At 44.3% G+C, this 16,077-nt stretch overlaps 1 long non-coding RNA gene and 1 pseudogene across 1 annotated transcript; one reads left to right on the top strand and one right to left on the bottom strand.

Moving 5' to 3' along the window:
- On the bottom strand, nucleotides 2,963-4,963 carry EEF1A1P49 (eukaryotic translation elongation factor 1 alpha 1 pseudogene 49; annotated as a pseudogene).
- On the top strand, nucleotides 3,938-6,328 carry LINC02746 (long intergenic non-protein coding RNA 2746). The gene is made up of 3 exons (NR_135091.1): nucleotides 3,938-4,364; nucleotides 4,445-4,543; nucleotides 5,091-6,328. It is a non-coding gene; the product is annotated as a long intergenic non-protein coding RNA 2746 (long non-coding RNA).
- The last annotated feature ends 9,749 nt before the right edge of the window (nucleotides 6,329-16,077 follow it).

Here is a 16,077-nt window from a genome sequence, read left to right as displayed (position 1 = left end):
TTTCTGCAGGTCTGCAAACTGAGTATCTCCTTATTCAGGCAGCAGATTCTGGGAAAATTGCCTGTCCCTGCATGTTCCCACACTTGAAACTGGAGCAAACTAAGTCAAATAATTCTTTAACTGTAAACATTCTATTTTCCAAATTGGATAGGTGACACCTGGTTAGTAGAGGAATCAGAGAAAAGGCCCTCCACATATCCACCTCCATCACTTCCCTCCCAGGAGACAACCAGAATCCAAACTTTCCCCAAATGGAAAGATTTTATCCCTACCAAGGACACAAAAGTCATGTGTACCATGCAGTAATTTCATCACTTTGTGTAAATTAGTTCTATTTGCATAGCTTAACAAAAACAAATTTTTGTGCTTGTCCTAACAAAGGGCTGTGGCTCTTCTTAATATTGTGTTAAAACTTCACCTTTAAAATTCCCCATCACCATCTTCACTTTGTTATGTTTTGCTATTTCTAAAATACACTGGTGCTATTATGCAGACTCAATCTATGTCTGCAATGGGTTCTCTGTGTCTAGAAACTTGGATAATGCGAGGAATCCAGTAGCTACACTGCTGCTCACTAACTATAACTGACAAAGGGCTTTGGTTAGTAGTTCTCCAGATCGATAAATTAATTAATAGGTGTGTTTAGTCCCTATGCCAATAGTGGCTACATCATCTAGTCATTTAGGAATTAACCCTCCCTCCTTGGTTTTCACTGGAAAATGACCTTTTCTTGTATTTATGCAGTTTCCCAATGAGCACATCTTAATCATGTAACTTGTTTTATCTCGGTGACTCCTCAGTGCATTGTGCTTTTCATTCCAAATGATTTTATTTCATCGTAACCATCTGAAGCCTGCATTACAGTCACTATAGATTCATTTCTAACTCTTAACCATCCCATTCCAGAAACTCTGATGACTTTACATTTATGAATTGTGAATATTATTTCTAATAAAATGATAAAGAATTGACCCTTCAAATTTGTAAATAATGGGGATATTTCCCTAGCAACAGCCAATTGCACTAGACAGAGAATGTCATTCTATCGGGAACAGTTACCCTTTAGCTTATTTCAATGTCAGGAAACCTCTAATTCTGATTATTCCTTCAGTTCTGAGTCAGCCAACACCACAGAGATACTACATACTATAACTTAAATAGAATAAGTATAATAATAATTCTTAATGAGGAGACAGCCTGGCTCAGAAGGCTGGAAACCTATGTACTGAGAGGTATCATATTATTTCTTCATTAACTTATTCTATAACCTTGAGCAAATCATTTTGTCTATGTGTGAGTACTTTACGTCCCAGTGAGTGCAATCCAGCAATACAAGACAGTAGAGAAAATAGTAGTATCTACAATAGTAGATACCAGTTATTGATCATTACCATGTGCTAAGCCCTGTGCCTGCATGACCTCATCTAATTCTTATGCTAAGCAGGAAGTCAGTTTCATTCCTAGTTTGCAGAGGAAGTTCAGAGTTACTAAGTTCACACAGTTAGTAAGTAGAGAAAGCAAGATTTAGACCTAGGTCTATCTGACTTGAAAGTGAACTTGTCTTATATACTGTATTTAATTTGCCTTTCTGCTGTTTCAGGGGCTGAAACTCTGCATGGTATTCCAGTAGTTCCCCCTTATACGTGGGGGATATGTCCAAGACCTCCAGTGGATGTCTGAAACCTTGGATGGCACAGTTACCAACCCTATGCATTATATGTACTGTATTGTTCTCTACATATGTACCTATGATAGAGTTTAATTTATAAATTAGGTACAGTAATATTAATAACAACAATTAACAAAATAGAACAATTTAAACAATATGCTATAATAAAAGTTATATAAATATGTTCTCTCTGTCTCTTTCAAAATATCCTATTGTATTATGCTGCAGGTAACTGAAATCAGAGAAAACAAAATCTCAGATAAATGGGGATTACTGTATAATGTCATGGTAAAACTGGGGAATTTTAGTCCCAGAGAGGACAGTGACCAGCTAATTTCTACCATGCAGATAGGCTGCAGAATAAGGAAGGAACCTAGATTTGAACAACGAAGTCTTCTGGGAGCTGCAGGGAGGGGCTCAAGCCTGGCTTTGGGAGAAGGGAGAATATCTTGACAGAGGAGTGTTCCCCATCCTCATGGCTATGTGCTCTAGTTAGCACCGTGGCCTTGCCTCCCTCTCTTCCCATCGCCCTTTCTAAATATGTCCAATGCACTCAACTGTTCTGCCTGGCTCAGGCTCCATCACCTCCCTCCAGGACTCCTGCATGGGCCCCTAAAGGGATCCCTGCCTCCAGTCTCAGTTGCCACTGAGCTCCTTACCATACAGCCAAGAGATTACAATTTACCCCTGTGGGCAGTACTAGTAATCAAGAGGCCTGGAGAGGTGGCTCATGCCTATAATCCTAGCGATTTGGGAGGCCAAGGCTACAGTGAGCTATGATCATGCCACTGCATTTTGGCAACAAAGCGAGACCCTATCTCCAAATAAATGAATAAATAAATAAAAAGAGTAATCAGAAAATTTAAGCAAAGGGATTATATAATTAGATTTACAGTGTAGGAAAATTAAACCTGAGGAGTTCATGCATTATGATCCTCCCTTTTCCCCTCACCTCTTTAGCCAATACTTTCTCCCACCATTTCCTGCCCTCCAGGCAAAAAGAGCACAGGACTCCACCTCCGATTCTTCTGCCTGGCAAGCACCTCCTCCCATGTGGGCCCTGAGGTGCTGTCTCATCTTGAAGACCAGATACAGCTTCTCCTCTCTGAAGGTGTCCTCACCTCCCCATACACATGGGAATCTCCCCAGTGTGCCCCCTTTGCAGCCCTCGTTCATTACACGGAAATAGCTCCTTTGTAGTCATCTGTTTCCCCTACCAGAGTGGGAGCCCCCTCAAAGACAGGCGCTGTGTCACTCATATTTGCATCCACAGTTCCCAGGGCAGAGCCAAGCAGTGGTTGCATTCTTCACATGGAATCCTACATTGTTAACCACAGGGCTTCCGCCAGGACCTCATGGTGCATCTCCACAGATTTAACCTTAGTGGTGACATTGCTGGGGGCAAATGTGACCACTATCCCGAATTTGAAAAAGCCACCCTCCACACGGCCCACTGGCACACTGCCAATGCCTGTTCAACCCAGGAAGGGAAGTCAGTCCCAGACACACCCAGTGAGAACTGGCTTCCTGGGAGGCCCCTTGGCTTTTGAGTTCAAGGACAAAGGACCACCTGTGGAATTGGTAGAAAGCACTAGATGGATCTCTGACTGTTTAAAACTGTGTAGTGGATAGCTTGGAAATGCTAGGTGCTTTTCCACTTTATCCTTGCTCAGGGAAGAGGTGGAGTCAGGATTTGAACCCTGGCAATCATACACCTGTGGACTCCCTCGGGGATTCAATTAAGGATCAACTCCAGAATCCCTAACAGAGTAGTCTACCCTCAGCTCCACTCAGGCCTGGGTCACCTCCCATCTTGTACACATCTTGCAGGGGCAGCCTCAGGGGATTGTCGACCCTGCGCGTTGTTGGGAGGATGGAGTTCAAAGCTTCCAGCAGAGTCACCCCCATGGCGTTCCCCTCCTTCCACTCTACCTTCCAGCACTTGAACCAGGGCATCTTCGGGATGTCGAGGGGAGGTGAGTCCGGGGTGTGGTCCGCTCGCCTCCACCCCGGCTGTCCCTGCCGACCCGCGCCACACTCGCGTCAGTGCTGGGCTCCAGCATGCTGTCGCCGTGCCAGCTCGAGATGGACTGAAGGCCAGGCAGCCAGTTGTAGCCGATCTTCTTGATGCAGGCGCTTACTTCCTTGGTGATCACCTGGAGGCGCGAGCCGCTGTAGGCGGGCTCGGTGGAGTCAATTTCGTTGAAGATCACGATGAGCTGCGTGACGTCCCGCCAGTTGGCCAGCAGCGCGAGCTCGTGGGTCTGCGGGTTCTTGAAGATGCCGGCCTCCGCCCAGCCGCCTGCCACGAAGAGCACCGCGCAGTCGGCCTGCACCGCGGGGATACACAAACACACCGGGTTGCGGGAGGGGGCATCGGACTGACTTTGGGAGGTTCCGAATCCCATTGTAAAGCTGGGGAATGCCCTCCAGAACTCAGATGGCCAAATGGGATTCATGGACCACCCTAGATGCGGTGCATGGGGGTCCTGCTTCCCAGTTCCTCTCATTTAATCTCATCTAAATCAGCTTTTAGTCCCTTCTTTCTGGACCAACTGATCTACTAGTCTGAGTGTAAGAAAACCTGGTCCCTCTAGGCCCCCCCAGGACAACAGGATCTGAGCTTCATGAGAGTGATGGGACTTTCAGTCCTGTCCTCCCTAATTCTTTCAGGATTGATGGATGATGGCCATAGGTGAGGAAAAGGCTTACAAGCCTTATGATACCTTCCTTCTCCAAGCTTCAGAAATAAATCTTGAGTTTCCCCCTCTATAGGAATGTTTCTGAAGGCATGGACTGCTTTACCTGGGAAGTGCCCCTGATCATGGTCATGATGAAGTCTCTGTGGCCTGGAGCATCGATGATAATGCTGTAGTATGTGCTAGTCTTGAACTTCCACAGGGAGATATCAATGGTGATCCTGCGTTCTCTTTCTGCCCTCAGCTTGTCCAACACCCAGGCATACTTGAAGGAGCCCTCGCCCACCTGGGAAGGGGTGGGAGAATAAATGCACTGATGGACAGCAGATAAATCTACCTCAAACAGCAGCATTTTAGGCTTGCAGAGTGCATGGTTTTCTGTACTCTGTAGCTAGAACTACCCACAAGAAAGAGGCTTCCCCTCCACACACTTCCAGACACAGAGGGAGCCTTACCTCTGCCGGCTCCTTTTCAAACTTCTCAATGATTCTCTTGTCAATGCCCTCACATTTGTGAGAGGCCCAGTGGTGGTGGACTTGCCAGAGTCCACATGGCCAATGATGATGATATTGATAAAGGCCTTCTCTTTGCTCATGGCAGTAGGTTTACTAGAATAACTGCTGGTCAAGACAGCCAGGTGGTGAGACTAGATTATTCCAGGCCTGTCTTCTTCTATTCCCTCTTACTGAATAATTAATTTATGTTTTTTATCTTATTTTCAGATCCTTTTCCTTCCCGTCTCCACATGTCCAGAAGTTTGGTCCCCATAAAATTACAGTGGGCTGGGCACAGTTGCTCACGCCTGTAATCTCAGCACTTTGGGAGCCTGAAGCAGGAGGATCACTTGAACTTAGGAAAAGAAGGCCAGCCTGGGCAATATGATTTAACCCATCTCTACAAAAAATTAAAAATAGAGAAAAGAAAAATTAGCCAGGCACAGTAGTGTGCACCTGAGGGGGCTGAAGTGGGAGAATCACTTGAGCCTGGGAAGCAGAGGTTGCAGTGTGCCAAGATCACATGACTGCACTCCATTCTGGGTGACAGAGTGAAACACTGTATCAAAAAAGTAAAAAAAAAAAAAAAAAAAAAAAAAAAAGGGGGTTCTGCTTAATTCTGCAAGATTTGGGCAAAAAAAGTATATTCAGCCTCACCCACCCTCCCTTTATCCAATCACCCAGTCAAGGAAGAAGTCTCTGACATTGGGCCTAAGGGTAAGGAGTGGCATTTTTTAAGCTGAACAGGTTCTCATTTCAGATTTGGTGAGAACCAGAAGGAGGGGCAGTGCAGGTAGGGCTGGGCTCATAAAAGCAGGAGGCAAAGAGTTCACTCTGTTGACAGTTGTTGTGGTTCTTGTTGATCTCTGGATCAGTTCTGCTGCTTCTTTTTTAGAAGTAGGACTTAAAGGAGCAAGCTGCAGACTACAGAGGGTCAGGATCTCTTGTACTAGAAATGGGTCAGAGGTGGGGGGATAGAAGTTGATTGGATGAACAGGGGCTGTCTAAGCTCCCAGTGGTCAGGGGATGGCCAATGCAGGAGAAAGGTCAGGGTCAGGACTGCTTGGAAGTACCCGATATAGCCAAGGAATTAGTCCAGGAGATGTGAGCCTGGGCAAATCAGTTTTACTTTTCAGTTTAACCTTTCATGTCCCTGGCTCTGAGCTAGGCACCGAAGTGGGAAGAGGCAATGCAGGAGCGGTGGTAGGAGGCTGCCCCTACAAGATGTGTGCAAGATGGGAGGTGACCCAGGCCTGAGTGGGGCTGAGGGTAGACTACTCTGTTAGGGATTCTGGAATTGATCCTTAATTGAATCCCCAAGAAGTCCTCCACTGCTGGCAAGGTCACCAAGTTTGCAGCAAAAGCCAGCAAGAAATGAAGCCCACCCTCCTCTCTGCAGTGTCCTCAGCTCCTCCTTCCCCCCCAATAACTAAACATTCAATGAATGTATGTATTTCCTAAATAAAGTGGATAAAACTTGACTAGCTGCCCTGGTTTCTTTCAAAGAAGAAAGCATGGGTAGATGGAGAACTTCTAGGCAGGATAATTATTATTTAAAGCCCATAGGCTTCCCAGGGTCATAAAACAATTCAGGGTTGTCTACCTTATTCTCATACCCAGGGTATCATTCCAACCTCTCTCCCATTTCGTTCCCTCTGTGGTGTCTCCTCCCTATAAAGTAGGTGGATGGTTTTGAGGTGTGAAAAGCATACTCATAACAACACTGGGGTAGGATCTTAGTGCCAATAGATTGGTCCAACTCTATTGTATGATTTTTGGTATAACCATCATTCAGTGCTGAAGGTTATTCAGCTAATGCAGTGAGGTGGAGACTCTAACTAGCTCATTTAGAACTTGGGCTCAGAAGCTGGTGCCCAACATGTTAAATTTAAGTTAGGTTAATATGCCTAGAGGGTAAGGAATGAACAGTTGCAGTTCTTACAATCTTTGATCTTGTTGTTGTCAATTAATGGGTGCAACAGGATAACTTTTCATGGAGCTTACTAAGCTAAATTATGTGCTCATTCAGCATATCCTGGGAGACAGGACCCAGGGTCTGCCAGCAATGTGTTCTTAACCCATTCGTCCATCAAATATTGGCACTTACCATGCACCAGATGCTGTTCTGATCCCATGTACTTATTGAGTGGGTGGAGACAGAAGGCAAATATCAGGTGATAGTGCATGAAGAAAATAAGCAAAGAAAATAGTAGAGATGGGGAGCAGACCATGAAGAATGGAAATTATGGAGACAAATGGAGTCTACAACAATAATCCAAGCAAGATGATGACTTGGACCAGAGGAGTAGTCATGGAGTTAAATGGTGAGAGGTGGTTCTGAATATATTTTTTAGGTGGAGCTGACAGAAATCTCTAAAGATTGGATGTGGGGTATGAGGAAGGGAAGTCCAGAGTGACATCCAGGTCTTTGGCCTGAGGAATTAGAAGAATGGAGTTTGCCCGATGAGATGTGGGGATGCATTGCCTGTTATTAGAGATGCTGGGGTGGTTAGAAATGGTCTGGAATAAAGGGATGACATAATCAGGGGAGCAATTCTACATGGAAAGAGTATCTTTTGTTCCTAAGCATCTGCTAGGAGGTGCTAGGATGTGCACATAGATTCTGTTCCACCTGGAAAGGGAAATTAATCAACTGCATGATTGTGATCTGTTTTATGATTGGGAAAACAATTAAGCTTCAAACATTGAGAATGCTGACTATGAAAATGGTTTTATTCCCAGGAGGACTGTTGGAGTCCTTTCTGGGTCAGATTGGGAATGCCATCATTTCCTGCCCATTCCTGAGATTCTGGTGTCCCAGGGTTAGACTAGGAGTGCAGTGGGCTATTTCTCTCACTGATCAATAACTATAACCTTACCTGTTCCTGTCTGTCATGTTGCTTCCCTCTCAAGTGCAAATCTCTTGGGAAACCTGAGACCCAGCACAAACCTGGAAATAATAGCAGGATGACATATCAGAGCTGTCACTAGGCCAGGCATTAAGAAGCTCACCTGTCTTCAGTGCTGGGAAGCCTGTCAAAATTCCAGCTGTTATCAGCATGAATCAGTGCCTAATGGGAGCTGGACCAAGCTTTGGAACACCTCAAGCCTGTCAATGTCATCAAAGGCCATTCAGCCTGCACGGGAGAGCCAGGCAGGTGCAGGAGCTGTGCAGGGACAGAATGCAGAATGCTCACCTGTTGTATTCCTCACTTCCTTCCCGGGCCTGTTCAATACAGTCTTTTTTGTCCAGAACACTTTATTTTGTCTTCTACAAATCACAACTACAGCTTTGCTAAAAATGACTGGGGAGCTAAACATATAACCTATCAGTGTCTGGGTCTCTAATATGTACTCAATGAACATTTGCTCAGTAGGGAATGAATGTCACTATATATGTGCTAAAGCAAGTGAATGACTGAATGTCAATTTACTCTTAGTTCTCAAGAATAATCATGGTTTTAGTGCTTGTTTCTTAAGGATATCATAACAATTTAATTTAAAAAGAAAACTAAAACTATCAGGGTTAATCCTCCAAGTGCCATATTATTTTTAACATTATTTTAATTTAATTACTTTTTTATTTATCGATAGGGGGTCTCATTTTGTTGCCCAGGGGCTGGTCTTGAACTCCTGGATTCAAGGGATTCTCCCGCCTCAGCCTCCCAAAGTGCTGGGATTACAAGCATGAGACACTATACCTAGCCCAAGTGTCATATTCTCTACTCTGTCATTTCTCACTGCTCAGGAAGAAGGGGGAGCCTCAAAACACCTAGTAGAATGAACATAACAGAAAATACTGGTAAGTGGGGAATGTCATCTCATTAGAAACTCCAAGAACACTTCTGTGCAGCACTGCAAGCATAGCGCCGCAGAACTGGCCAAAGTTTTGTACCAAACTGTAGCTACAGCAATGTACACTAGGACGTAAGAGTTCTGACTTTTTATCTGAGAAAAAACTTTGTAGTCATCTTAGGCCACAACTCCAGTGCCTGCTGGTCCAGGGCCTCTTTGTAATGTGGGAAATGGATACAAGCCATATTGGCCAGTTACAATTATTAGGTTCTTTTCTGACAGATATTGGAGGCCATCGCTTGCTAGATCCTCCTCACCCCACCCCTGCCACCAGGTAGCACAATGAAACACGTCTCAGACTGAATTAGCAGGTACAAAACAATCACATGTCTGTTGTGTGGTTTGAAGTCTCGGCATCCTACCCTTTCAGTCTCTGATGAGCATTTTGCATGCAGGTGTGACCGGATCCTGGCAGCAGGCTTCAGCTGGCCTTCGGGTGGGGACAATCCTCTGGAAATGGCTCTCAGCAGGATGGAGTCCTTAGGTCTTGGCTGCCAGTTCAAAGGGTCAGGGCTACTGGGCTCACCTGTTTATCCACAGAGACACCTGTACAATAGTTCTAGTTAATCTACAGGTCTTGAACTCCGCTCATTTCACCAACACAAAATCTTTTCTAATATCCAATATGACAAACAACAAACCATCTGGTGCTGACTGGAGATAAATAAGGTTGAGCTTGTCTGAGGCTTGCGGTAATAAAGCTCCTGGAGTGGGGGCTTCTGATTACTCTGTCACATGCTACATAACCACCTCTAGAGTGTGTGTTCCCAATTATGGTGCTTCAAATGTTAAACAACCACCCCTATGGTCTAGAATAAAACTATCTTGCAGACCACATATCTCATGGGGACACTGCATTCGAAGTCCTTGGATGCACTCTTCTCTGAGAGGTCATGCTGCCCCCAACATAGCCAGCCCACTTCCCAGAAGCCCAGATTTACTTTCCTGGCATGAGCTTTCCTGCCAGTCATGGGTCAGCAGTGGGGGAGCTCCCTGGCTCTCCTCCCATCACCTTCTCTGGTGACAGCCTGCTGCGCCCTATAGTTTCCTCTCTTCCCGGCAGCCCCTGGCTGCAGAGCTTACCTGAATTATCTCAGACCCAAGAGAAAATGCTCTGGCAATCAGATTTTTGTTTGTCCCTGTCAGACTCCAGAGCTCGAACAAAGTTTCTTTCTGGCTGACTCTAAACCCATCTCCTCAAGCCAGTTTGGGAGGCTGTGCAGCTCACACCTGACTCCCTGGGGTGGTCTATGCCTGTGGGAAGGGACCTTGCCCTGGGAAGACACACAGACCTCACCAGCACCAGCCACTTGGCACCCCAGGCTAGCACTTATGGCTCCTGATCCTTCAGACTCACAGCGGGCACCCGGCTTACTCCACCCAACTAAAGCAAGGAGGATGGGGTGTCACCTATCCATTCATTCATTCACTTCCTCTTTTACCAGATTTCATTGATGAAAACTGTGGTTGAGCTGCGTTGAACACTGTCTTGCCCACCTAGGTCTCACTGTCTGGCAAAGAAGACAAATAAGTATTCTGAAAATTATAATGTGATGTTAGAAATGCCGTGATAGGGCTAACTTCAGGAGGCTATGGAAGAACATAACAGGGGCCACAGTGAAGCTCGAGGAATCAGAGAAAACTGATTCTAGAGGTAAAAAAGTCAACCTCTAAAAAAACATGTAGAATGGCCCATACAGGACTCAGCAGGGAGGCCAGTATGGCTGGCTCTGACTGCAGGTTGGTAACATGAACAGAAGGCCAAGTTCCTTGTTTGTTTGTTCTTTGAAACAAAGTCTCACTTTGTCTCCAGGGCTGGAGTGCAGTGGCATGATCTCGGCTCACTGCAACCTCCACCTCCCAGGTTCAAGCGATTCTCCTGCCTTAGCCTCCCGAGTAGCTGGGATTACAGGTGCCCGCAACTGTGCCCAGCTAATTTTTGTATTTTTTTTGGTAGAGACAGGGTTTCTCTGTCTCTCGGTCCAGGCTGGTCTCAAATTCTTGACCTCGTGATTCTCCCACCTCGGCCTCCCAAAGGGGATTACAGGTGTGAGCTACTGTGCCCGGCCAAGTTCTTGAAGGCCCTTGATGCCAAGCTATGGCATCTAGGCTTAGTGCTGAGGGCAGAGAGGAGTCATAGGGTGCTCAGGTGGGTGCCTTTCCTTTAAATGAGAAGTGCAGGCTTTGAGCTTTCTCAGAAACTTAACTTGGGCCCTTATGCAAAAAGAACATCAAGACTAGACCTGACCTGAAAGCTCCATTGGCTGCCGGGGTACCTCTGTCCACTTTCATTAGGCCTCAGAAGGCCCAGTAATGATGGCATCAGTTTCACTGGCATAGAAATAACTAAGCAATACTCTACCACCTGAGGTTGTCCCTTTTCTGGGTAGAAGCTAAATTGAAATTTTAAAATGACTCTATTGCCATTCTTCTGAACGCAGTTGACTTCTTTTTGTCATATTAAACCAAGTTCCAGACACTGGAAACAGAAATCCCAGCTGCCATTGCCCATTCATTGAACAATTGGTATTTTGGCCTTGCAGGGAGACACACCAGCTTATGTTTACAGAGCTGTTTACATTTGATGATGACAACAGTATAACTGAGAAAATCGCCCTATGGAAAAATATGTTTTCCTTCTGTTCTAAGAAAAGTCCCACTGCATCAGCCAGAACAAGTGTGTCCAGCATACATAGACAGCAGCAGACTAAGACCCATGAAGAAAAACCTGCCCCTCTCCATCCTGTATACCTGTAGGGTCAACTGGGGTTTGGAAATATTTCCACAGAAAAACTTCACATCTTACTCACTCACATTCCCATTTTCCATAATCAGCCAAGTCCCAATTATTTCCTGTATTGTCTCTGCCGCATTTGTTTTGTGAGACAATGGTGAGTAGGATAATGGTGCATAACTCAAACACAGGGCCAATCTAAACGAGAAACTGGCAGAGGGCTCACGGGGTGATTGCATTATTCATGAAAAGACATCAGAACAATTGGAGGATAACATTAGATTTTAACTCACAGCAGCAATTACAAGGCAATTATCCAAAATGGTATAATTGCCACAGTTACAGGGTGTGTGGCAGAACCTACACCATGTTCTTGCCACCTTTTTCAGTGCCATGATGAAAACCGGTCTGTACATTGCAAGAGGAAATTCTGCAGAAGAAAACATGCATATTCCCTCCCCTCATGCCCCACACAGCAAGCAACCAGAGGCTCGGTGAAAAATGTAGCCCTAGGCCAGGCTTAAATCTTGCAGGAACCCTTGTCTTGCTTATGCCAAACTGTGCTGCTGTCAGTTATTTGACCCTGTCCTTGTGTGAATTTCAGCCTATGCCTGGAGCCTGAATCCTACTTCCAGATGCAGTCTCTTAGCCAAGGGCACTACAAATGTGGCAGTGGGAAGAAGGTACGTGCTTTGCAGGCAGCAAGCTGGGATTTACTCACTGTTCTAATACTGATGGTGCAATTCAGCATCTGCTAGTATAAGGGTAGGTACCATGATACCCTTATAATTAGAAGATGCACTCAGTGCATATGACATGCAAGATAGTTTGCATATCCTCTTTAAGTTAACCTCCAAGGTTCCTGGTTTTCATGCATTTATTTATTTAACAAATATTTATCTAACATCTTTGTATTAGGTTCTGTTCTAGGAGATTGAGTTACATTAATGACAAAATGGAGCTCTGCCTTTATGAAGCTTCCCTAATTGGAGTAATTTTGCACAACCATCAGAGGCCTGAAAGGTACAATGTACTGTCTATAGCATCAGCAGAGCAAGATGCAAATTGGGATCGAAATATTCTCAACTTTCTGGATTCTTTCCTTCCCTTTCCATGTCACTATCCTTTCCCCCTCTTCTATCGTGGCTTTAGAACTATGTGTCTTTTCAAATCAATTCAACACGCATTTCTTAAGCACCTATTAACTTGACAATATCTAGCAACATTTAAAATAGTTATACTCATTGATATAACAAGTTTATTATTAGATCTTCATTGTACAACATACTGGAATAGGATTGCTAAAATATGTTGAATGATATTCATTGCAGTATTGTTTGTGATTGTCCCAAACTGAAAATAATGAAAAATGTATATAAATAAGTGGGGGCTATTAAATAAATTAGGGTGCATTCATCTGGTGGGATATTATGCAGCTGCTAAAAGAATGTGATAAGAATGGAATGATGTCCAGAGACTCCCACCAGGTTAAAAAGGCAAGTTTCAGAATAATGTGTACAGTTGGATCCCATATTTGTAAAACAAATTTCACACATACAGAAGAAAAATGACAGGAAGGATATGCATCAAAGCAGTATCTGGGGTGCCTCTTGGGAGTAAGTTGGGGATAGCAAAGACTTTTGTTTTCTTCTTTATTTGTCTTCTGATTTAAAATTTGTATAGATTACTTTTATAGTTAAATAAAAATACATTTGACTCTTGAACAATATGGGTTTGAAGTGCTTGGGTTCATCTTTAGTGGATTTTAATCAATAAAAGTTACACCAAATGTACCTGCCTCCCCTTCCACCTCCTCTACTTCTTTCACCTCTCCACCCATGAGACAGCAAGACCAACCCCTCCTCCTCTTCCTTTTCCTCCTCAGCCTACTCAATGTGAAGGCAACGAGGATGAAGACCTTTATAATGACCCACTTCTACTTAATAAATAGTAAGTATATTTTCTCTTCCTTATAATTTTCTTAATAACATTTTTCACTAGTTTATTGTAAGAATACACTATAATTTATATATATGTGTGTATATATATATTTTATATATGTACACAAAATATGTGTTAATAGACTGTTTATGCTATTGGTAAGGCTTGTGGTCAACAATAGGCTATTAGTAATTAATTTTGGGGAGAGTCAGAAGTCATGTGTGAATTTTTGACTTTGAGGAAATGTGTGTCCCTAAACTCGACCTTGTTCGAGGGTCAACTGTATAGAAAGAATATGGATCATCCCCCCAGCCTCAGGCTACTAGGAGAGTGGGGTTTCCTGCTTTTGAGGAGTGTGATGATTAACTTTTTGTACCAGCTTGGCAGATATTTGGTGAAACATTATTCTGTGAAAATGTTTTTAGATGAGGCTCACATTTAAATTGGTGGGCTTTGAGTAAAGCAAATTATCCTTCATAATATGGGTGGGTCTCATCCAGTCAAATGAAGGCCTTAGTAAGACAAAGACTGAGGAGCTCCCCTGAGCAAGAAGGAATTCTGCCGACAGACTGCATCACAACTCTTGCTGGAGTCTCCAGCCTGTGGGCCTACCCCACTGGATTTTGGACTCACCAAACTTCCCCACAATCACTTGTGCAAATTCCTTAGACTAAATCTCTCTCTGTCTCTCTCTGTCTCTCTCTCTCTCCGTCTCTCTCTCTCTCCCTCTCTCTACATATATATATGTATATATACATTGGTTCTGTTTCTTTGGAGAACCCTGACTAATATAAGAAGCTTGGGGTTTAGTTGTGTAGTGACACATCAGGGAGAGGAGAGGAGTGGTTCTTCTGAGTGTCCCCTGAGACTAAGCATGTTATTAGTGGGCACGCCAACGGGTGACTTGGTTGGGGGAGGGGCTAGAGCTCCATGATCTCCTTCAGCCACCCCAAACAAACATGAACCCCGAGAAGGTGTTGGCCCTACCAAAGCGGCTTCAAGAAAGCCCTCATAGAAATTCGAGGAAGTTGCCTCTGAACAAAGTATGAAGTTTTGGGAAGTTCCCATTCCTTGTGACCAGTAAGGTGCTAGGCCCTGGCCTGAAGGTCTCCCATGGCCCCTTGGCAGCATCCACATCTCCAAAGGCTCTCATTCTTGAGCACAAGCCCCTACCCCAGTGGACAGGCCAATGATCCAGGGATGTCCCAGGTAAAGGGACAGAAGTCCTCCTTGATGCCAGTTTTAGAAGGTTAAGGATTCTCCTTACCACCACTTCCCCTCAGCTCTCCATCTTGAAAGCTTCAACTTCCATAAACTTATCCATGGCTTTCAAATATAAAGAAGCCAAATCATTAAAACTTGGTTATGATGACTTTGTAAGCTCAAGAAAATTATTTAAAATATACACAATAAAAAATAGAATATATTCCTTGTGAGGAATAATAATGAGTTCTCACTCTGTTAGTTTACAAGAGAGCTGGTTGTTTAAAGGAGCCTGGCTCCTCTGCGTCTCTCTCTTGCTTCTTCTCTCACCATGTGACTCATTGACTCTCCTCTACCTTTTGCCATGATTGTAGGATTCCTGAGGCCCTCATCAGGAGCAGATGCTGGTGCCCTGCTTCCTTTATAGCCTGCAGAACCATGAGTCTTAATAAACCTCTTTTCTTTACGAATTACCCAGTGTCAGGTATTCCTTTATAGCGATGCAGAATGGACTGACCGAGCTGGCTCACTATTGGGCTGTATTTCTTATCTCCAGGCTTCTTGAACTGAGGAGAAACTAGAATCACAGCACAGCATGTGCCAGGCACAGTGCTAAGCACTCATATAAACCTCATCTAATTTAACCACCATTCTGATTCTGTAAGGTAGATATAGTTTTGGTTGTCAAACTCAGTATTCTGAAGAGAAATTCAACAATAACAATGAAAAAAAGAGAAAGAAAAAAAAAGAAATCAGAAATCCAGAGAAGTTAAAAATACTCTTGCGGCCGGGCGTGGTGGTTCATGCCTGCAATCCCAGCAATTTGGGAGGCCAAGGCGGGTGGATCACGAGGTCAGGAGATCGAGACCACCCTGGCTAACATGGTGAAACCCTGTCTCTACTAAAAATACAAAAAAAAATTAGCCGGGCATGGTGGCGGGCACCTGTAGTCCCAGGTACTCAGGAGGCTGAGGCAGGAGAATGGCATGAACCCGGGAGGCAGAGCTTGCAGTGAGCTGAGATAGCGCCACTGCACTCCAGCCTGGGTGACAGAGCGAGACTCTGTCTCAAAAAAAAAAAAAAAAAAAAACTCTTGCAAGGTCTCAGACCTGGCCAGAAGGTGTATCCATTTTCTAGAGCTGCCATTACAAAATACCACAAACTGGGTGGTTTTAAAACAATGTAAATTGATTCTTTCACAGTTCTGGAGGCTAGAATTCCAAAATCAAGATGTCAGCACGGTTGGTTCCTTCTGGAGGGTCTGAGGGAGAAACTGTTCTGTGCTTCTCTCCTAGAGTCTGGAGTCTTTGGTATTCCTTGTCCTGCAGACACATCTGTTCGATCTCTGTCTCCATCTTCACATGGCATTGCCCCCATCTCCATCTGTGTGTTTATGTCTCCTTCCTTCTTCTTATAATGATAATGGTCATTTTGGATTGGGAACTCCTTAATATAATATGATCTCATTTTTAACTATAATAC

This window comes from Homo sapiens, chromosome 11 (genome assembly GCF_000001405.40).
Source record: "Homo sapiens chromosome 11, GRCh38.p14 Primary Assembly".
Classification (NCBI taxonomy): Eukaryota; Metazoa; Chordata; class Mammalia; order Primates; family Hominidae; genus Homo; species Homo sapiens.
Note: the sequence above shows the minus strand (reverse complement) of the source record. Positions and strands in the feature narration are given on the sequence as shown.